The sequence below is a fragment of the Homo sapiens genome, chromosome 10 (genome assembly GCF_000001405.40).
Source record: "Homo sapiens chromosome 10, GRCh38.p14 Primary Assembly".
In the NCBI taxonomy this organism is placed as follows: domain Eukaryota; kingdom Metazoa; phylum Chordata; class Mammalia; order Primates; family Hominidae; genus Homo; species Homo sapiens.
The window spans coordinates 29,615,300-29,637,225 of record NC_000010.11 but is presented as its reverse complement, the minus strand read 5'-3'; the positions used below and the strand labels follow the sequence as shown (position 1 = coordinate 29,637,225).

The window sequence follows — 21,926 nt, the reverse complement described above, 5'->3', positions numbered from 1 at the left end:
GGCATGAGCCACCACGCCCAGACTAACTTTTTTCTTCTTTTTCAAGATGGTTTTTAGCTATTCTAGGGCCTGTACCTTTACTATAAATTTTAGAATATCTGCCAAAAATCACTGTGAGGCCAGGCAGGGTGGCTCACACCTGTAATCCTAGCACTTAAGAAGGCCGAAGTGGGAGGACAGCTGGAGCCCAGGAGTTCAAGACAAGCCTGGCCAACCTAATGAGACTCCATCTCTACAAAAACTAAGAAATTAAAAAATTAGCCCAGTGTGGTGGTGCACATCTGTAGCCCCAGATATTCAGGAGGCTGAGGCAGGAGGACTGCCTCCTGGGGAGGTTGAGGCTGCAGTGAGCCATGATTGCACACCTCTACTCCAGCCTGGACAACAGAGCAAGACCATGTCTCAAAAAAACAAAACAAAACAAAACAAAACAAAAAAACCTTGCAAGATTTTGATAGGAATTTTGTTAATCTGTAGATCAGTTTGGGGACAATTGACATCTTTTGTGTGTTGATTTTTCTTCCAATTCATGATTATCATCATTGGAAAGAAGTGAGTATGATGAGTCTTCTAAGCCAGGCAGATAGCAAAAAAATTAGGAAAGTAAATGGATTGCACAGGAAGAATTAACTGGGATTTAAATAATCAAAGACAGAAAGGATATATAAAAGAAGTGACGAAGGAGATTTACCCTATTAGACTCCAGTGTATTAATCTAGGACAGTTTGGTTGCTATGGGGAAGCAGTGTGCAAAAACTTAAGAGGCACACAAAAGACTGATGTTTATTTTGTGGGAGTGAATCTTTTTTTAGGAAGGAAATAGCACTATTGTGGTAACAGTGATTCATTTTCTCCTCCTATCTTCTCTTTACAGAGAAGACCCAAATAGTGAACTGTTTCATGTAAGTTTTTATTTATTTTTGCCCTACTTTTCTCTAGGGAGGGGCTTACCACAGCTTATAAAAATACGTAAAACAAGATCAAATAAACTTTAAAATGAGGAAAAAGCCAATATGGTCCAAGGGAAAAGAAGATCAGGGTCAGGACTGAGATTAGGATGCAAAAGCCATGCTATGAAATTTTGTTTGTTTGTTATCTTGAGATGGGTAAAAAAAAAAAAAAACAGTTGACTGGGACAAATACCCCTAGCACAAAACAGTCATGAAGCCAATGTTTAATTATTATACCTGTCATCTTTTCACCTGGCCTCAGGACTGTCCTCTTAGGGAGAGGCATTGTTCTGTAGGGTTAATTAGTAACAGGAATTTAGATCCTGCTTTGAGAGGCCTCCTGTGCTGGCCGAAGCAGCTGGTGGTCTGAGAACCCTGACACCCAGAGGCATACCACTGGGAGGCCCCGCGCAGCACACAGCTTTTGCTGTACTCCAGCCCAAGTCTTATGGGGTTTGTGGTTTATACTGAAGTTGGTGCAGACAATTAAGACTCTCTGTTCTTGGTACCGACAGGGACAGAGACCTACAATTGTAAGTATTTTGTAAACAGGGTTGTGATATTTGTTTGAGTGTATTCAACATGTCAGTGGCCTTTTAATGTTTAAAAAAATGCATATGGCCATTTAAGAAGTGGTTGTGCTTCATAGTTAATATTTTTTTCATTAGGTTAGGTTCATCTGGTTTTTCAGTGAGGTGAGCTACCTGAGAGCCATAGGAAGATAGATCTTGCCAGTTCAGAGGACTGACTTTGGCTTTAAGAGAAAATATTTGTGTCATTTTCGAGAAAGTACTTCCAGCACAATGCTTTCTTCTGATGATTCATTTTCTACAGTTATTGGAAGTGGGAAGAAATCCACAGAGGTTACAGAATTTGTAAACTTGTAGAGACATGTGCCATTATATCATGCTGTTTCATAGATGTGTATGTCTGTTAGTTACTTTTCGGGCATTCATTGTATATATGTCTGTTACTTACTTTTGGGGTGTTCAGTGTCTGAGCTTTGTCAACGATTGTGTGCTCTTTTTTTAGCCTAAAAAAACTAAGTTAGAGAAATGTTTGCTCATCCAAATCTGTATTGTTGTAGCTTATTCAGTAGACTGCTGTTGTATTTTTAATTTCTCTATACAACAAGCTGAAAGACAGTGTGGACAACCTAATTGCATTTGAAGTAGCTGCTGGCCAGGCCTGCTGCAACAGCTGATGGGCTCCTCTGAATTTCCAGGGCTATTTCTGGTAGATGAGCTGGTATCAAGGCTCTCGAGTTCAGGCCATAAAAGGCCCGTCCCATGTGAAGTTGCTTCACTGCTCTGACTGCGTCCTCCCCAGGCTGAAGTGTCCTCAGGTTTCATGTGGATTTGCCCAGTAATGGATGGCTCCACCGAGGCCAGGTTGGGGAAGTTCAGCCTCGAGGACACTAGGGGACGAAAAACTTCAAAAAGAAGACTCTTTTTATTAATATTTTGGCGTTCTTTTTGGAGAGGAACTTTTGGGATGTAGCCTTTACCTGTTTCCTGAATTTGACATCCAAAAAGCCTTTTGGAAAACACCATTCTAAATTTATCCTGTTCTGAATCATCATCGCTTCTGATAGATGCAGTTGCTTGCTGACATCGTGATCTTTGATTTTGTACAACGCTATTTGGGCTAACTTTTGGGATTTTACTTTGTGCTTAGAATTTGAAAGTAGTATTCATTGGAAAGAGACTCCAAGAAAATACTCGAAGACATCAAAAGCTGGATTCGAGGGTATAACGTGTTTTGTTTTGTTTTTTAAATTAGAAAAATAAGGAATTGCAGTGTGATTTTCTTTCCCCCTTTAACTTAGAGGAACGAGGATTATACAGAAATTTGAAGTAAGTGAAAAATCTTCCTATAAATCTAAATGCAGTAGGTTTTTTTTTGTTGTTTTTGTTTTTGCTTTTTTTTAAGTGCCATCTGTCTGAGCATGTTTCCTGAGGATTTGTTGACTTCAGTCATTGGAAAATTCCTGCCAGCGTTTGCCAGTTACTGCAGCCATTCCTGTAGATACCCTTGGGCATATTTCTTGGGTTGAGAAGGATTGGACTTTTTTTTTTTTTTAAAGGATTTACTTTATGGTAGAGAAAGGTTTAATACTAAAAATTTGATTAATATAACTTAGTACATTCTGTCTAAATGTTAGCACTTAAAGTCTTGGAATTAAAGTATATTCACAATGCAACGTACTTTAATAATCGTAGCACAAGTATGGGGGTGGAGTTCAGAAGGGCAAGTTTTATTTCACTGCCATTATAATTCATGTAAAAATAGAAAATCACCAGTGATCCTTTTGCATAATCTTTGTTCTGAGGGTTCTTTGCCTTGGTACTCTCATTCTTCAGGGCTTGATTTCTAGAACTTGCGATGTTCCAGAATTTATGAGAAAAACCTCACTGTAGGTTCTAGAGTTTGAACTGCATTTTATTTTTAAATTCTCCAAGAAAAAATACTGCATCAGCCTTTTAAAGCCCTGGAGATTGCTATGGTCTCTTTGTAATTTAGCTCAGTGATTTGTTTCTGCTGAAAAACAGCAGTGAACTCTAGAACATAGAAGGCTTATTTGACGTGTTGCTTCTTTGAAAAAAAAAAAAGATTATTTCTTTATACCACATCAGATGGACAAGTACGGGCAGTCATTATTTTTACCAGGTAGGAAAACAGAGTATTTATAGAGAAGAACTTCATCGGTGAATACTGCGAGGGTTCTTCACCGGAGATAGTGTGGCAACCCTAGGGGGCGTTTGAAAATGCATGGGGGTGTTTCAGGTTTTCTCAATGACTCACTGGCATTTGGGAGGATGTGGTTAAGAATTGTAAATGCCCAATTTACATGGTGTAGGGGACAGTCCCATACAGCATTACCCTGGCCAAACTGCTGGTGGTATCCCCTGTTGAGTAAAACTGCAGGATATAAATTGTACCCTCTGTCTCCAAAGAAGAGCAGCCCAGTGCCAGGCAGATGTGTGCTGTCTCTTCTCACCAAAACCAGTGATGTCTTTTTTTTTTTTTTTTTTTTTTGAGATGGAGTCTCGTGCTGTCACCCAGGCTGGAGTGCAGTGGCACGATCTCGGCTCACTGCAACCTCCACCTCCCAGGTTCAAGTGACTCTCCTTGCCTCAACCTCCCAAGTAACTGGGATTACAGGCACCTGGCACCATATCCAGCTAATTTTTTTTTGTATTTTTAGTAGAGACGGGGTTTCACTATGTTGGCCAGGCTGATCTTGAACTCCTGACCTCGTGATCCGCCCACCTTGGGCTCCCAAAGTGCTGGGATTATAGGCGTGAGCCCCTGCACCCGGCACCCGGTGATGTCTTGAGGATCCAGGGCATCAAGTGTGCACTAGTGTCAGAGAATTTGTCTTACAATGGAAACTTTGGAGTCTATACTCTGTGTGTGTGTGTGTGTGTGTGTTAAAGATAATTTATTTGGTCACCTTGATCACTGGATGAGGCTGATGTTATACAAGCTATTGTAGTACATTAGGTGCCTTCCTGCCTACCTTTATTTAGTACTATTGGTGCATTTAATTTTGCCACATGCATAGTCTTCCAAGTGAAATTTGGTTAATGCGCTCAGCTTGCAGTGGACATCAGTCAGCCATTCAACAAACAGTTCTTTATCTTTGCTTCTACTTTGGAGACAGACTGTTTTGTGATAAACAGACTTCTGGAAGACTTTGGAGTTCAATTCAGAGTGAACATCTTTGGCAACACCTGGGGTTATATAGTATTCTTTTTTTCTTTTTTCTTTTTTTTTTTTTTGAGATGGAGTCTTGCTCTGTTGCCCAGGCTGGAGTGCAATGACACAATCTCAGCTCACTGCAACCTCCACCTCTTGGGCTGAAGTGATTCTCCTGCCTCAGCCTCCCTACTAGCTGGGATTACAGGCATATGCCACTGCGCCCAGCTAATTTTTGTATTTTTAGTAGAGACAGGGTTTCATCATGTTGCCCAGGTTGGTCTTGAACTCCTGACCTCAGGTGATCTACCAGCGCTCGGCCTCCCAAAGTTCTGGGATTACAGGCATGAGCCACCACACCCGGCGAGTTATTTAATATTCTACAGTTGAGGAATTGCATCCAAAGGAAAGGGCCCTTGGGATTTTTATAAGGATGTCTGGTGAGCTCCAGCATGCAGGGCTCTCGGGCTACATGGAGCGTTATGGAGAGTAAGCTGCTAGGAGCCTTGTGATTGTTAGGGTACAAAGGCAGCCTTGGAATCATCTCCTGAATCTGCAGCTGCCTGGGATTTTAGGACACTCATTGCAATTTTATGTTAAAGCGCTGATCTCAGGGTGCCTTGCTGTGACTGGGAGTATCCGTAGGTCTAGAACTTTCCAGCAGTTCTGGGCTTCATTGATTTGTGACTCAACTAGGAATCTTCTGGTCACCCTTGACTCCTCTCCCTTTAGGTCCCCGAGGCCTCTGCCCCACCACCTCCTCTTAAGCCTCGCCATCTTTTTTATTTTTTATTTTTTTGAGATGGAGTCTCACTCTGTCAGCCAAGCTGGAGTGCAATGGCACAATCTCGGCTCACTGCAATCCCTGCCTCCCGGGTTCAAGGGATTCTCCTGCCACAGCCTCCTGAGTAGCTGGGATTACAGGTGTCCGCCACCACGCCCGGCTAATTCTTGTATATTTAGTAAAGATGGGGTTTCACCATGTTGGTCAGGCTGGTCTCGAAATCCTGACCTCATGATCTGCCCACCTCGGCCTCCCAAAGTGCTGGGATTACAGGTGTCCGCCACCACGCCCGGCTAATTCTTGTATATTTAGTAAAGATGGGGTTTCACCATGTTGGTCAGGCTGGTCTCGAAATCCTGACCTCATGATCTGCCCACCTCGGCCTCCCAAAGTGCTGGGATTACAGGCATGAGCCACCGCGCCTGGCCTCGCCTCGCCATCTCTTACCTGGGCTACTGCTTTGCCCTTAATGGATCCCTTGGCCCTCGGTTTCTCCTCCGTCTGGTCTAGCCACAGAATGACCTTCCTAAACAAAGATCTCATCTTGCACTCGGCCAGGGCCAAACCCTCATCGTTCCTCACTGCTTACATGCAAAAGCCTGGGCTCTGTAGCCTCCCCTTCAGGGTCTTTCATGCCCCTGGAGTTCTGTTGGCAAGTCTCCCCAAAATGTTGTCTTCTCTTGCCTGCCAGGGAAGCAATATCAAAGGAGATGTGCCAGAAGCTTCCTCTGACATGCCTCTGGCCTCCTGGGCCTCGACTCCAGCCTGTACTCTAGGGCTGCAGTCACTAGGTCCTGGTGGCCCTTTCCTTGGCAGCAGGGTACCCAGTGAGGTGCTTGGGTCTCACTTCTCTTACCACCCCCAGGGTCTAGCCCAGTGGGCAATCCAGAAATGTGAGTTGTTTGAACGGATTGAATTGTAACGACTTGTGGGTTCTTCATATCGAAATTTGGCTGTGATCCATCCAGTACTTTTGCCCTCATCCTATATTACTCACAGTAGAAGCTGGTGTTCTGTGTTATAAGTTCTCCTTTTTTTTCCTTCATCTATGACAATGCAAGCAGAAACGTTCGTGTTGCGGTAACAAGTCCGATGGGGTTTCTGTATATGGGGTTTCTGTACACGTGCTTTTGCCAACCGGGAAATTAAGGTGTGCCGCATGAAGTCAGTCACTTCATTATTGGAACTTTGCCTAAAATGAAGAAACTCATCTAGTGGTGCAATTTGACCTAAGTGTTTTACCCATACAGTCAACTTCAACTTGGGTCACACATCTCAGGAGCAGTTTGCACTGTTGATCTCAGGGGCTCTTTAGTATTGGTTCAGAGAGATCTCTGTCCCTCTTAGAGACACTCCCTATTGTAGGAGGTTTTGAAAGAGGCATTCTTTTTCCTCCTAATGTGCTTGTCCCCTTCTGAAAGTTGATCCTTTAATCCCAAACAAGTTTATAACCTATGTCTAACTGGTTTTTGTGTAAATATAGTAAAAGAAATAGTTTCCATATTTGCTTTGGGATCATTGGTCTGCCCATGTCACAGCCCTGGGTACATTCATTTCAGTCCATATTTTTGGGGCACTTTCCCTGTGCAGAGCTCCGGGTGGGTCCTGTGGGATGCAGAAGCCTATAGCGTATTCCCTCTCATTGGCAGCCTCTTTCCCAGAGTGTCTCGGACAGGGATGTAATGGAGCTATTTTACCAGTCAGAGTAGAAGGGATGAACAATAATAACATGCCATCCATTATTACTGTGTGCCAGACTTAATGCCACACTCTTTACCTCTACAATATATCACTTAATTATTTTTATTTTTTGAGACAGTCTTGCCTGGTCACCCAGGTTGGAATGCAATGGCATGACCATGGTTCACTGCAGCCTCGAACTCCTGGGCTCAAGCATTCCTCCTTCCTCAGCCTCCCGAGTAGCTGGGACTATAGGCAATCACTACTATGCCCAGCTAATTAAAAAAAAAAATTCTAGAGGCAGGGGTCTCACTATGTTGCTCAGGCTGGTCTTGAGCTCCTGGCCTCAAGCTATCCTCCCATTAAGGCCTCTCAAGGCACTGGGATTACAGGTGTGAGCCACCACGCCCGGACTCTAATTTTTACAGTAGCCCCCAAGAAATATTAGTGCAATTGTCTTCATTCTACTGAGGAAAAAACTGAGGGTTAGAAATGCTTGCCCAAGCTTGGGCACATACCATGTGCCCAAATCCAGCTGGATTTGAACCCAGATCTAGTTGACTTCAGTGCCTGTATTCATAACCGCTGCTTTAGCCAGTGCAGCCCAAACTTTAATAGGAATCACCTGCAGTCTTGTTACTGCAGCGTCTGATTCAGTAGGTCTGCACTGGACTTAGAGATTCAACAAACAGGATCCAGGTGATGCTAATTCCTGTCTGAGGACCTGCTTTGAGCCGCCTTAGGTTAATTCTTTGCCACGTGCCTGAGATGGAAGCAACCAGCTGGGGTGCGGGACTCGAAGGGGGCTTCCGAGGAGGAGAAGGAGTCTTTCAAGGCTCCTCTGTTCCTCTAGGCTTTTCATGCCACCCCTTCCCGCTCTCTACCTACACCATTCTCTCCCGTTTGTCTTATTTTCCACTCTGCTCTTCTCCTGGCTTCTCCTTGTGTTGAAAACATCCTCAGGTTTCATCCATTCTAAATAAAGCTCCCCTTGACCTCAAGCGATCACTTCTTTCTTTCCTGCCCACTCACTCCTCAGCACTGATCAGGAGCTCTTCTGTCTTCTCCTCTTGGACACCTTTCAAGACCTCCTGGTTACTTTGATGTCCCCGCAGCCTCCCTGGGATGGAACCCCTCTCCGTGAGAATCCCATCTCAGGTCTAGTGAGGGTGATGGGGCTCTGACCTCCATACTCAGCATCCACACCCTGCTGTGATCTTGAGGTCTCCTGGCGGCCTTATTTTAAAAATCATTTTCTGTCTCTTTGCTTGCTCAGCTTTCCTTCTTAAGGTCCATTTAAGATTTTTTAAAAAATCCTGGTGTTCCTCTTTATAAGGTGAATTGTTCAACATGTCCATTTCAGGTGGAATGCATTCATTTGGCTTTTAGAACTGATTTTCTGTTTGTAAGTAGAAATTAACTCCCAATTAGCTGTGTGAGAATTTGTATCCTCTGTATCTGCTATCAATAGAAAAGAACAATTCGGTTCTGGGCGAAGACCCAAAGGGCTTTTTATTAATAATGCACCTACGATTTGTGAACTGTGTTTAGGTTCATCAGAGGCCTCTCGTTTCTTTCTGGACTTTCAATTACGTTCTGAGCATGGAAAGTTGGCAAATAACTTAGGCTTGGATGGATAGATACAGTCATTGAATAGAAAAACCATATTGATATTTTTAGGTTTTTAAGATCTCACATACTTTAAATATTTCAAAATTTTAAGTAAATACTCTTTCATACATTCTGAAACATTATATCTAATTTATCTCAGCCAAAAATTTAAGACATATACATGTTGCAGTTGCACACCTGTTACTCCAAAACAAACAAACCGCTCCAGCCAAAACCCAAATGGGAAAGCACTTGATTTTCAGTAGCTTAAAATATGTTGAATTAAGAGGTAGGTTATGAAAGTGAAAATGACATCTGAATGTTTTAGTGGTTTTGGATATAAATTTTCTTAGGAATTTTTTGTTTGAGTTAAGCTGATAGTTTAGTTTACTGTGTGCTATGTTGGTTGCAAAATTCAGCTACATTTGTTTATTTTGCAATTAATTCAATTTGTTTGCAAATATTGCATCAGACATCTAAACCAGCTAATAACTCTATAGGTTTGAGCCAGGTTAGAAAAAAAGGCTTGGCTGTACCGTTAAGAAGCAGCTAGCTCTCTAAATTGTGCTGATAGTCTTAATTTCCCCCGGATGTTCATTTTAGCCACACACACATAACCATTTGGATTTATGATTTCATACATTTTTTATTGGAAGTGCTGAATATTTTAAAATTCTGTGATTAGATAAAATTGGTCATTGTGCTTCAGAATAGGGTGACTCAGCTTCATGGGATGTACTTTACCCAACACAGGATTCTCCCATTTGAGATGGAATTTATTAATTTGGATTTGTATCAGGTCTTCACTCCAGAGGCATCAGAGAGCTTTCAGGCAGCCAACTATTCTTAAATATTTCAAAAGGAAGTTGCAGTGGGCACGTGGCGTGGAGAACACAGCAGAGCAAAGTGATGTAGGGGCCATAACAGCCAACATGCTTTGTTTCCTTCATTCATTCACCTACCTCCCCAAAAGTCCAAAGAAGTGTTTTCCCTGCTCTCGGTGCAGGAGGAAGATTTTATCTGGAAATTGAAGGTGTCAATGGCCAGAGAAAGAAGGAGGAACATTGATTTTCATGAATAACCAGCTGTGTGACCTTGGGTAAATTCTTAACCTCTCTGAGCCTCAGTGGCCTCATTCATTCAAACAAGGGTTGGACTAGAGGATTTTTAAGACCCCTTTTACGTATTGGGATTCTGTAATCCAAAGGTTTCAGAGATCGAGAATAATCTGTCTTCCTTGGAAAGGCAACACCTTGTATCTGGAAGGTAGTAGTTCAAGGTGGGAGAGCAGGAACAAATTAGAAATGTGTTGAGAAAGAAGATCTTTTTTAAAAAGTCCTCTCACTGTCCTTGCTTGTTTCTGTTGAAATACACAGACTGTTTCTCCCTTCTCTGATGGCTTCATAATCATTCTTTGTCTTTGATTCTTATTATTTATTTTATTTTATTTTATTTTATTTTCATTTTATTTTTTTGAGATGGAGTCTCGCTCAGTCTCCCAGGCTGGAGCTCAGTGGCGCAATCTCGGCTCACTGCAAGCTCCGCCTCCCGGGTTCACACCATTCTCCTGCCTCAGCCTCCTGACTAGCTGGAACTACAGGCGCCCGCCACCACGCCCAGCTAACTTTTTGTATTTTTAGTAGAGACGGGGTTTCACCGTATTAGCCAGGATGGTCTTGATCTCCTGACCTCGTGATCCACCCGCCTCCGCTTCCCAACGTGCTAGGATTACAGGCCTGAGCCACCGCGCCCAGCCTGATTCTTTATTTTGGAAAGTTTCTGACACCTCTTTAAATTAAGCTCTCATAGTTTCTTTTGTGTTCATTTAAGTATGTCTATTTTCTTTTCTCTAACCTAATTTATTTTTATCTTCTTTTGGACATTTGTTTTTTCTCCTGATGTGAAACCCCAAAGTGGTCACAGCAGACTCGCTCAGGGATGCCTGAGACCGTCAGAATCTTCGTGTTCACAACAAGATGGGATGTGCTTGGCTTTCGTTTCCCTTTGAGTTTATTAGTTCACTGCCAGGTATTCATTTATTCTCAACAGTTGTTTTCTGAGCACTTACTGTGTGTCAGGGACTGGTATAGGTGTTGGGGAAAGAGCGGTGGGAAACAAAATTCCTGCCCTCGTAGCGTTTAAGTTCCAATGGAATGGTACTAAAGTACCCTGAGCGATTCTCTTGATCTTCAGCCCTACATCTGTTGTTCAAGTGCTTAGGTTAATAACAAAATGTAAAATACCTACCATGGTTTCACATAGTTATGTGTGTCTGATGTAGGGGCCATAACCGTGTGTGTGTGCCTTGAGAAAACTTAAGATCTACTTCTTGGCAAATTTTAAATATATAATACATTGTTAGCAACTATAGTCACCATGCTATACCTTAGGTTTCCAGAACTTACTCGTAACTACAAGTTTGCATCCTTTGACCAATGTCTTTCCAATTTCTCCTACCTCCAGCCCCTGGTTACCACCTTTCCATTTTGTTTCTGTGAGTTCAGCTTTTATATCAAAACATCATGCTGCACACCTTGAGTATATACAATTTGCATTTGTGAATTATACCTCAAAGCTGAAAAAAGACCCCAAAAAACCCGGCATGGTTCCTAACCAAAGGAGACACTTGTAAGGCTTTGTATCCTCCTACAGTTTGCATTTTGTATCTTCTGAAATTCTCTCTTCCCCTAGAATTCATACTGATAAAGCTTATACGCATTTCAAAATATATGTTTGAGGCTGGGCGTGGTGGCTCATGCCTGTAGTCCCAGCACTTTGGGAGGCCAAGGCGGGTGGATCACGAGATCAGGAGATCGAGACCATCCTGGATAACATGGTGAAACCTCGTCTCTACTAAAAATACAAAAAATTATCGGGCATGGTGGTGGGCACCTGTAGTCCCAGCTACTCGGGAGGCTGAGGCAGGAGAATGGCGTGAACCCAGGAGGCAGAGCTTGCAGTGAGCAGAGATCGCGCCGCTGCACTCCAGCCTGGGCAACAGAGTGAGACTCCGTCTCAAAAAAAAGGAAAAAAAATATATATATATGTATACTTGAGGCAAGTACAAGTCAAGTACCCATCTCTCTCTATTTTTAAAATTCATGCTTTCTCTGCTATCATAACATTCGGTCTATAAAACGTTGATTTCATTACCAAGGCAAAGGTTGATGTTGATATCAAGCAGGATGTTACAGAAATAAATCATTGGATCCACTTTACTTCTTTCTTACTTTCAGACTTTGTCTCAGAACTTTATTAAACTTAGCAAAAGTTAAAAAGAAAGGTAGTCTTAACTGAAGACTTTGAGATGATTTTAGAAGGAGTTTAGTAACATTGGATGAACTATTGTGTGTCACTAATCATGTCAGAGAATGTAACTTACAACTGAAACTTTGGAGTCTGTAATCTTTCTGTGTGTTTTTTTTTTCTTTTTAAGACGATTCACCTGGTCACTTCTATCACTGGGTGAAGCTGATTGTATATAAGCTAGATCTGCCTTCTGCCTACCTTTATGTTAGTACTATTTTTACGTTTAATTTTGCCCAAGTTGAAAGAGATTGCTTGGTTCATGGGGCCTTAAACATTTCAACATTTGTCCTTCACAAGATAATTATTTCATTAAAAGTAAATTACAATTTATTCAGTAGCTCTCCACATGAAAATAATAATCAGATGGTAAATGGATGCCCTAAGATATGTGGAGAACAAATTACCGTGGTATTTTAAAGGAGAGAGTTTTCTAAGCTAACTTTTATGCATGCAGCATCTCCCTGGCTAACATGAGCATTGATGATAATTTCTACCATTAATGAGCTCATTTTTTTTTTTAATGAGACTTTGTTTTTACTTTTAAAAAACAGTAACCTAAGGCAGGTGAAGTCAAATTGTTATTGCTGGGAAGTTGTGTTTCAAATGAGCACTGTAAATGATTTTGTTGAGCAGGCGTTTTTTGTTTTGTTTTGTTTTTGAGACGAAGTCTCACTCTGTCGCCCAGGCTGACATGATCGATCTCAGCTCACTGCAACCTCTGCCTCCCACATTCAGGTGATTCTTCTGCCTCAGCCTCCTGAGTAGCTGGGATTACAGGTGTGTGCCACCACACCCGGCTAATTTTTGTATTTTTAGTAGAGATGGGGTTTCGCCATGTTGGCCAGGCTGGTCTTGAACTCCTGACCTCAGGTGATCCACCCACCTCGGCCTCCCAGAGGGTTGGGATTACATGTGTGAGCCAAGCAGATGGTTTTTAAACTGGGGTCCAAGAACAAGCTTTAGAATGTTAGAATATCTCCCCAAAACCATATGGAAAATGCTAGGGGTTTTTTTTTTTTTTTTGAAAGCTCATTTAATAAAGGAGAGCATCCATTGTTTTCATTACTCTTCTTAAAGGGGCTGTGACTCCCAAAAAGTGAAGAACAAATGCATGTGAGGAAAAGTCACATTCTGATTAGTCATATGTTGCTTAACAACAGGAGTACCTGCTGAGAAATATGTCCTTGGGTGATTTCGTCATTCTGCAACCATCATGGAGTGCATTTCCACAAACCTAGATGGTACAGCCCACTACATACTACGGTTGATGGTGTAGCCATTGTAATCTTAAGGGACCACCATGGCAAATGACTGTGTTTCTTTTGTTGTTGTTGTTTTTGAGATGGAGTCTTGCTCTGTGGCCCGGGCTGGAGTGCAGTGGTGTGATCTCGGCTCACTGCAACCTCCCCCTCCTGGGTTCAAGCCATTCTCCTGCCTCAGCCTCCCGAGTAGCTGGACTACAGGCGCGTGCCACCATGCCTGGCTAATTTTTTTTGTATTTTTAGTAGAGATGGGGTTTCCCCGTGTTAGCCAGGATGGTCTCAATCTCCTGACCTCATGATCCACCCGCCTTGGCCTCCTAAAGTGCTGGGATTACAGGCGTGAGCCTCCGCGCCTGCCTGGCAAATGACTGTGTTTCTATAGAAATGAAGAGCTTAGACGTGCCTGGATGGCTCCAGATAACACCCAGCTGAGCCTTACGGCTCCTAATGGGTCCCATCCTCCACTGAAATGAGATCAGAACAACCCATGGGGCCTGACTTAGTACTGGCCAGTAGAACTGGACAATCTGTTGATGGGTGTATTCTCAAACTGGTACTGTTCTGTTGGGTAGCCCCTAGCCACTGGTAGCAAGTGCCACTGAGGAATTAGACCTTAACCTTGACTTCATGTTAATTAGTCAGAATTGCAGTGGCCCCTTTTGTTGGACAGCACAGGACCAGAGGAAGTGGATTTGCACTTTGCATCTGCTGATAGGAACTGAAAAACTGCCATGCATTGCCTATTGACCTATCCATGTAATTTGTCATACTTGGATAGCAGAGGAAAAATCTAAAATACTGTGTTTTTCAAAAGAAATGGAAGCTTATTGTATTAGGGGAAAATTTCCTGGGGATTCCTTATTTCTTTCACATATACACACACCCAGTGCAAGCATGCACACACACACACTCGCACACACACTGGATACAGTTTTGTAGGTTCTTTGTGTCCCGAAAACATAAAATGTTCATTTCTGCATTTTGAATTATGGATTTGAAGATCCATGCTGTGCAATCTCAGCATCACTAATAACGCTTGAGTTGAATGCTCCAAGCTCACTTCACAAGGCAGCTCTCGCTTAGGGAGCGGTTTGCATGGAGGTGCTTTGAATTCCGGGACAGAGTGGTTTGGGGAACTAGGGGGATTGCAGTCTCTGTTGACAACGTGTCCTTTGGCTGCTTGGTTGTTCTTTCCTACGTTTGTGTTTCGGTTTAAGGTCATGGTGTTGTTCTGGGAGACATTAGCTTAAATAGCGTTTTGTTTGTTTTTGCTTTCGACGTGTTTAAACGTATGGATGGAAACTAAAGTTGTCCTCTGGGAACCAGGGCTGTGATGTGCATGATTAGATCTTTCTGTGTTGATGGCTTGTGTGAGATCTTGTGATTACCCAGCGAACTGTGCCAAAGTTTCATTATTTATTCATTCCTTCCAATGATTTTGGAGTACCTGCTGTGGCTACTAAGGATATCATGTATTTTCCTCCCAAATGTCTGCAACTCATAAACCTCTGACAGTTTAGAATGTGTGTGGAGCCGGGCGGGATGATCATAAGAAGAGATGGTGCGCTTGTCACCTGTACAAGCCACTTAGATTCCCAGGCAGTTTTCTCACCTGAAAAACGAGAGATTGACCTTCAGTGTTTCCAAGGTTCTTTTTTTTTTTTTTTTTTTTTTTTTTGAGACGGAGTCTCACTCTGTCGCCCAGGCTGGAGTGCAGTGGCGCGATCTCGGCTCACTGCAAGCTCCGCCTCCCGGGTTCACGCCATTCTCCTGCCTCAGCCTCCCGAGTAGCTGGGACTACAGGCGCCCGCCACCACGCCCGGCTAATTTTTTGTATTTTTAGTAGAGACGGGGTTTCACCGTGTTAGCCAGGATGGTCTCGATCTCCTGACCTCGTGATCCGCCCGCCTCGGCCTCCCAAAGTGCTGGGATTACAGGCGTGAGCCACCGCGCCCGGCCAGTGTTTCCAAGGTTCTTTGCTGCTCCCAAGTCACTGATGTTTGTGTATGTCTACGTGTATGTGTGCTTGTGTGTGTGTTTCTGTATGTATGCATATTTGTGTCTGTGATTGTGTGTGTTTGTATGTGTGTGTGCGTGCGCATATATTTAGCTTTTCCTCATAAATCTTTATTATTAAAATGAGCTCACAACAGAAGAGGATGAGAACTCTTGGGCTATGTAGGAAATGCAGGGCCAGAGGGTGTATTAGGATCAAGAAGAGGCCAGACCCCCAGGTCGTGGACCTCCTCCTGCCATGGGCCCACAGCCCATGTGGTTTTGTGAGGTAGCTTGAAAACCTGGTTAACCTGGAATGTAATTTTTAAACATGATTGTACTTTGAGGAAAGAGGCTGTTATTTCTTGTTAGAGGGATCTGGTCATCTTTTCTGCTCTGTTGTCTTTGTTTATGCTCTCTTGAGAGTCATGGTTCCCTCTGCACCTTGGGCTTGGCCCGCTGCGGGGTAGCCCCTGTTTCCCAAGCATGGTGGGACCCCTGCTGTGCCTCCACATCTGTGTTCTCCATCTGCTCTGGAATGCCCTCCCTGCCAACGCACAGAGCTCTCCAGCCTCGGGGAACTTGCTGCTTTGGTTGGGAAATTCCCCTTGGGATTAAGCGTTCCTGCCTTCCCGCAGCACTTTCCTAGCTCAGAGCAGGCTCACAGACCGTGTGAGTGTCCTTGGGTACAGAATACCACAGGCAAGTGAGATCATTCTCCATTGCATTTCTTTTCAACTACAATTTGAGTGATTTTTCAGAAGTACAAGATTTACCTGATTCTTACATGGAGGTAGTGATGTATTATTAAATACACAGAATACAAAGGCAAGGATGGGTGGGGCGTGCACCTGTAATCCCAGCACTTTGGGAGGCCAAGGTGGGAGAATTGCTTGAGGCCAAGAGTTCGAGACCAGCCTGGGAAATATAGTGAGACGCCATATCTACAAAAAAAAAAAAAAAATTTTAAGAATAAAAAATCAAATTTAAAAAGTTTATTTAAAAAGTCAGGGATAGCCCGGGCGTGGTGGCTCACACCTGTAATCCCAGCACTTTGGGAGGCTGAGGTGGGTGGATCACGAGGTCAGGAGTTTGAGACCGGCCTGGCCAACATGGTGAAACCCCATCTCTGCTAAAAATACAAAAAATAGCTTGGTGTGGTAGTGGGCGCCTGTAGTCCCAGCTACTCAGGAGGCTGAGGCAGGAGAATCATTTGAACCCGGGAGGTGGAGTTTGCAGTGAGCTGAGATCGTGCCATTGTACTCCAGCCTGGGTGAGACTCCGTCTCAAAAAAATAAAAATAAAAAGCAGGGATAATACCTCACTTCCCCTGCTTAACCCTAGCATCAAGAGTAGATGAATACACAAGTTGAATTGGATTAGGTGACTATATATCAAAAACAATTCAGCTCAGCTGTTGCACTGAATGAACGTTTTTAAAATAACCGCACAGTTGACTATCCGAGTTGCCACCTGCCCTTATTTGGTTTGTCAGAGGGTGGGTGAATATTTAGGGACACTATAAGGGGAGTCCTCTCCTTTCTCTCCCACCTCTTTCCTTTTGCTCTCTCTCCCCCTTTCCCTTCCTCTCTTTTCCCTTCTTTTCTTTCTTTTCTTTTCCTTCCTTTTCCTTCTCTTTTCCTCTCCTCTTTCCTCTTCATCTCTTCCTATATTCTCTTTTCTCTTATTCTCTTTCTGTTTCTCCCCTTTCATCTTCAAGACATAACAACATGGCTATGGATATCTGTAAGTTTGACTGATTTTAATGTGTGCAATGATAATTTTTAAAACATGCATAGTATATACATAATATGTCTCCATTTACACGGTTCTGATGGCTTTCTTAATATTGCTAATACTAAAAAAACTTTAAAAATTATTATAATTTGAAACATGAATTCTGATTTCTAGGCTTCATGATACCTTGTGGAAAGAAGCTGTTATTTCTTCTTAGGATTGGTCATTTTTTCTTCTCTGTTATCTTTGTGTATGTATGTATTATACATGTATGTGTACCTATGTATGCGTAACATCCAAAAAAATCCACATTTAAAAAAAATGTAGTTTGCAATAATCTTTTTAAAAATGTAGTTTGTCATAATATTTTTTAAAATGTAGTTTGTAATGAGGAGAAAATGAGTACATGACAATCGAGTTTGATTTTAGTAGAGCAAAAATTAAAATCAACCCTCAGCTTATGCTTTGGTGTTTGTTAACTCAAATTTAAAATTAGAAATGTGGTAATTATTTGGCAGTTGTGGCTTTCTCAGGGAAACCATATCATATTGTATGTGTGTGCTGGCCTTTAAAAATAGATATTGCCACGAAGCTCATCATCTGAATTCATGGCCGACTCCTGGAAGTGGTGGGCTTTGGAAAGCAGGGCTGTGAGTTTGGCTCTTACACTTCCAGGGAGCTCTCCATTCCAGCTTTGGTTCCCTTCAGTCCATCTGTGGTCAAAGCTCTTTTGTTTTCAAAGCTAACTGCTGAAGAGTAAACACTCTTGACCCTGACTGTAAATATGTGTCATACGTCTGGTTAGTTTTAGTTTTAACTGAACAAAATCATTTTGGCAGAAGAGTCATTAAAGTTTGCACAAAATCCTGACCTTCACATCCCTGGTTTTCCTCACATACGCATCCGCAGGGAGTCACAATCCATTTGAAAATATTTCTTCTCTGGGACTGAAAATCTCCTAAAACGTGTATTCTTCAGCAAACAAAGTATCTCATAAAATGTAAACGTGGATGACTGGGGGAATACAATTTTTTTTGCGCATAATGACTTCTGTCAGTCCTCTAAGAAATTCAAAGAATTTTCACGGCTTCCAGTTTAAATTCTAGCGCCTCTGGCCATGGCCATGGTTTGTTCTGTGTTTGATTATCTTTCCGTTCAGGGGTTCGATTGTTACTGGGCTACTTTAGACAAAGCTACCTGGATCTTGAGTTGCCACTTTTAGCCCAAAATCCCCTTCCTACCTGTTTAAGGGGCAGTGGAGCACTTGGTGGCCACACTGGCTCTCTGTGTTAAGGTGTTTGCTGAAAATTAGCTGTCTACGGTGGCCTATGCCCGTAGTCCCAGCTACTCAGGAGGCTGAGGGGGCGGGAATTCCCTGAGTCCAGGAGTTTGAGGCTACAGTGAGCTCTGATTGCGCCACCGCACTCCAGCCTGGATGACAAAGCGACACCTTGTCTCAAAAAAAAAAAAAAATCTGCTGCAAGAGCTTATTTGTAACCTGGAAGGAAAGGAGTAGTCCAGGGTTTGGGGCAGAGCCTATTGCCTCTGAAAAGACCCAGTAAATTCTCTGGGGACTGCTTGTATCCTTGTAACTAGATAGTCGTCACACATGAGTGAAAAGAAGGCATTTGGGCTTTGAAGGTGGTCAAGAGCGTCCAGGCTGGGCCAGGCATGGTGGGTCTGTGTGAGAAGCAGAGCTTAGGAAGGCTGGGGTCTGAACATGCTTTGACTTTTGCTTTGTGCAACCAGTAATCCAGAAAAATCCTACCTGAAGCCCCAGAGGCTGTGCTTCTTCAGCAGGGTGTCATATTGTCAGGGAGCTGCAAACAGCCTGTTGTAGTCAGAAAAGACGGTGTTTTCCTTTCCACAGCTTTATGGACATAAAATAAAACTTGAATTTGACAAACAATACAATAAATCCTCCTTTCCCAAAAATTACGAGTTGAGGTCATGGTTCCTAATCGGAACTGTGTGCAGCTGTTGGATTTTTGGCGCTTTCTAGAGCTTTCACTAAAATCAAATGCATTTAAACACCCTCCCTCCTCAAGAGGACAGGATTAGCCCGCCTCCCCAGGAGAACAGTGCTCTGCTGCCTGCGTCAGCAAGCTCCTTACACAGTGGTCTCCTGCCTGTGTCAGCGAGCTCCTTACAACAGTCTCTGTGCACGTCCCATCACTTTATCATGGATTAGAGGCTGCAGGATGTTTTCATATGGCCCATGATAATGTAATGATGGCTGGTACTTTAGGACTTGAAAACCTCTTAACGTCTTGGCCAGACTGTGGACTGTTCTTTCAGGCATCTGTCTTTTAAATCAGTTATCTCCATTTGCTGTCAAATTTGGCCTGCATTGGCCGGCTTTATTATTTCTATTGTTCCATAGAGAGCCACACTGAAACTAATTTGAGAAAAGTGTAATCTCTATTGAAAACTTGGAGTCCACCAGCAAGTAGACTGTATATTTTGGAGTGTCCACCAAAAGCTCATAGTCACTGTCACCTCGTAAGGATGCTTCCAATGAATCTCCAAAAAGTAGTTTACATCTGCATCCTTGGTGGAGATTTTCTTAAGTAGACAGAATTTCTCTTTTTTTTTCTTTCTTTCTTTTTTTTTTTTTAGATTAGTTTTCCTTTTTCGCCCAGGCTGGAGTGCAGTGGCACGATCTCGGCTCACCGCAACCTCTGCCTTCCGGGTTCAAGCGATTCTCCTGCCTCAGCCTCCCAAGTAGCTGGGACTACAGGTGCGCACCACCACGCCTGGCTAATTTTTTGTATTTTTAGTACAAAATACAAAATAGAGAAATACATTAGAAATACAAGTACGATGCTCTTGTCAGGGAAGAAAAACTCTTTCTTTATCCTCTCTTGTGCAATGACCAGGGGCCTGCAAATGTAACTGACAAAAGTCAGGTTCACAGCAGAAAAGAATACAAATGTTATTAATAATTTATATGTATGGGAGTTCACAGAAAAGAAGTAACACTCAACAGATCAGACTTGGGAGCTTATATACCTTTCTTCATAAAGGAAAAGAGCTTTGGGCTTCAAGGGATGAACAATTGTGCGGAAGCAACTGGGAAATACACGGGGGAAACTAGGGGAAGATAAGCGTTATTTTAGTGAGGTTTGTTTGTGCAGACTCATCTCCATCTCTGGTGTTAAGAGTTGCACTTCAGCCAGGTGCGGTGTCTCATGCCTGTAATCCCAGCACTTTGGGAGGCTGAGGTGGGTGGTTCACCTGAGGTTGGGAGTTCAAGACTAGCTTGGCCAACATGGCGAAACCCTGTCTCTACTAAAAATATAAAAATTAGCCATGCTTCGTGGCGTGGGCCTATAGTCCCAGCTACCCAAGAGGCTGAGGCAGGAGAACTACTTGAACTTGGGAGGCAGAGGTTGCAGTGAGCAGAGATCACGCCACTGCACTCCAGCATGGGTGTGACAGAGCCAGACTCCATCTCAAACAAAATAAAAAAGAGTTGCACTTCCCCTTCCTGGTACAGGAGTGGGAGACACCTGAACAAAGGGAAGTTTATGCCTGGCTTTTAGGCAGAAAAAGTGGGCGCAGAGATCCTCCGTTGCCTTCAACTCAGAATAATCCTTATGCCAGAGTGGCATATTTTGAAATGGTATATTCCAGACCCTGCTTCATGCTTTACATAAAAAATATCAGTGCAGTACAATAAATCCTAATATCAGATTACTGTGTTTTCAGTGTGACATTTTGTTTATTGGAATCTGTCTTGTATGTCAGTTTATTGTATATTTTACTTGATTTTGGACTAACTTGCATGTATTATATATCACAATTGCCCGAACCTCAGAACGAGTTTACACGCTTTTGTCTTAAAAATGGAAATACAGGCTGGGTGCGATGGCTTATGCCTGTGATCCTAACACTTTGGGAGGCCGAAGTGGGTGGATTGCCTGAGTTCAGGAGTTTAAGACCAGCCCGTGCAACATGGTGAAACCCTGCCTCTACTAAAATACAAAAATTAGCTGGGCAAGGTGGCACACACCTGTAGTCCCAGCTACTTGGGATGCTGAGGCACGAGAATCGCTTGAACCCAGGAGGAAAATAAAAAGGAAATGCAATTTCTCAAATAGTAAAGGTTTAATAAGCCACCCACCTATGTGCTGAAATAACCTTGAATTGATAAAGATTTAAACAAAAACTAAATTTGGTCATCTGTATAAGCATATTATTTAGATATGGGGTATCATGCCATGTCATTGCAAATTGTGTAGGAAAAGCATCAACTTCTGTTTAAATTTGCTTGGCTGAAATAAATGTGAGGAAGTCAGTGTGGGAGTTTATGGCAAACTCTGAATTATTCTGAAAATAGTATATTTCAAAGAGGCAGATATCTCTAAACAAATCTGAACAGGATTTGGAAAACATTTTTGTACTTAAATTTGATATTATGCCTGATATTTAGGACTTCTAACCATTACTGCCCAATGCTTGATATATAGCAATAAATATTTGTGAAATGAAGAAATTAATGAATGGAACACACATACTTGAATGAGCAGAAAGACTGAAAGTACACAGAGCTGAAAGCCTGTTTGATTTCTTCATCTGTCAAGCTCCCTAGTGAAAATTTGCTTTGTGACACTTCTGATTCATTCAAACCTTCTCCAGAAGGAAAGTAATTAAGTGTTTTTGTTTTAGATAGTTCCATTTTTATACTGCAGGTGACAAGCGAGGAATAACCAGCTTTAGCTTTTAACACAATGAGTAATTAAACACAGAAGTTACTGCCAACAAAATTGAAATCAAATCTGTCATTTGATCCAGTGCTGTGTTGCATTTGCTTTGTGAATTGGTGGGGAAAATATGGTAAATAATAATACACCATTGTATGTTAAGAAACAGCTGGGAGAAGTAGGATCATTT

At 42.6% G+C, this 21,926-nt stretch overlaps 1 protein-coding gene across 4 annotated transcripts in view, besides 4 other annotated features; it reads left to right on the top strand.

Annotated features, from left to right (window-relative positions):
- The window catches only part of SVIL (supervillin), a 279,599-nt gene that overhangs the window by 99,711 nt on the left and 157,962 nt on the right, over positions 1–21,926 (top strand). The window contains exon 1 of one of the 4 annotated variants that reach the window (NM_021738.3): positions 2,255–2,806. The exons of the other annotated variants lie outside the window; for them this stretch is intronic. The gene's annotated coding sequence lies outside the window, so the exon portion shown is untranslated. Of the gene's footprint in view, positions 1–2,254; positions 2,807–21,926 lie in introns of those variants that run through there. 4 annotated transcript variants of the gene reach the window in all.
- Positions 2,152–2,446: a silencer, noted in NCBI's record as "tiled region #354; K562 Repressive non-DNase unmatched - State 21:Repr". NCBI's record gives its function as "represses a minimal TATA promoter and a strong SV40 promoter by Sharpr-MPRA in K562 cells {active_cell/tissue: K562}" and the evidence as "EXISTENCE:reporter gene assay evidence [ECO:0000049][PMID:27701403]".
- Positions 15,387–16,137: an enhancer, noted in NCBI's record as "H3K27ac-H3K4me1 hESC enhancer chr10:29910018-29910768 (GRCh37/hg19 assembly coordinates)". NCBI's record gives its function as "activates a minimal SCP1, AML or CMV promoter by ChIP-STARR-seq in primed H9 embryonic stem cells {active_cell/tissue: H9 hESC(primed)}" and the evidence as "EXISTENCE:reporter gene assay evidence [ECO:0000049][PMID:30033119]".
- Positions 17,890–18,519: an enhancer, noted in NCBI's record as "H3K27ac hESC enhancer chr10:29907636-29908265 (GRCh37/hg19 assembly coordinates)". NCBI's record gives its function as "activates a minimal SCP1, AML or CMV promoter by ChIP-STARR-seq in primed H9 embryonic stem cells {active_cell/tissue: H9 hESC(primed)}" and the evidence as "EXISTENCE:reporter gene assay evidence [ECO:0000049][PMID:30033119]".
- Positions 18,520–19,150: an enhancer, noted in NCBI's record as "H3K27ac hESC enhancer chr10:29907005-29907635 (GRCh37/hg19 assembly coordinates)". NCBI's record gives its function as "activates a minimal SCP1, AML or CMV promoter by ChIP-STARR-seq in primed H9 embryonic stem cells {active_cell/tissue: H9 hESC(primed)}" and the evidence as "EXISTENCE:reporter gene assay evidence [ECO:0000049][PMID:30033119]".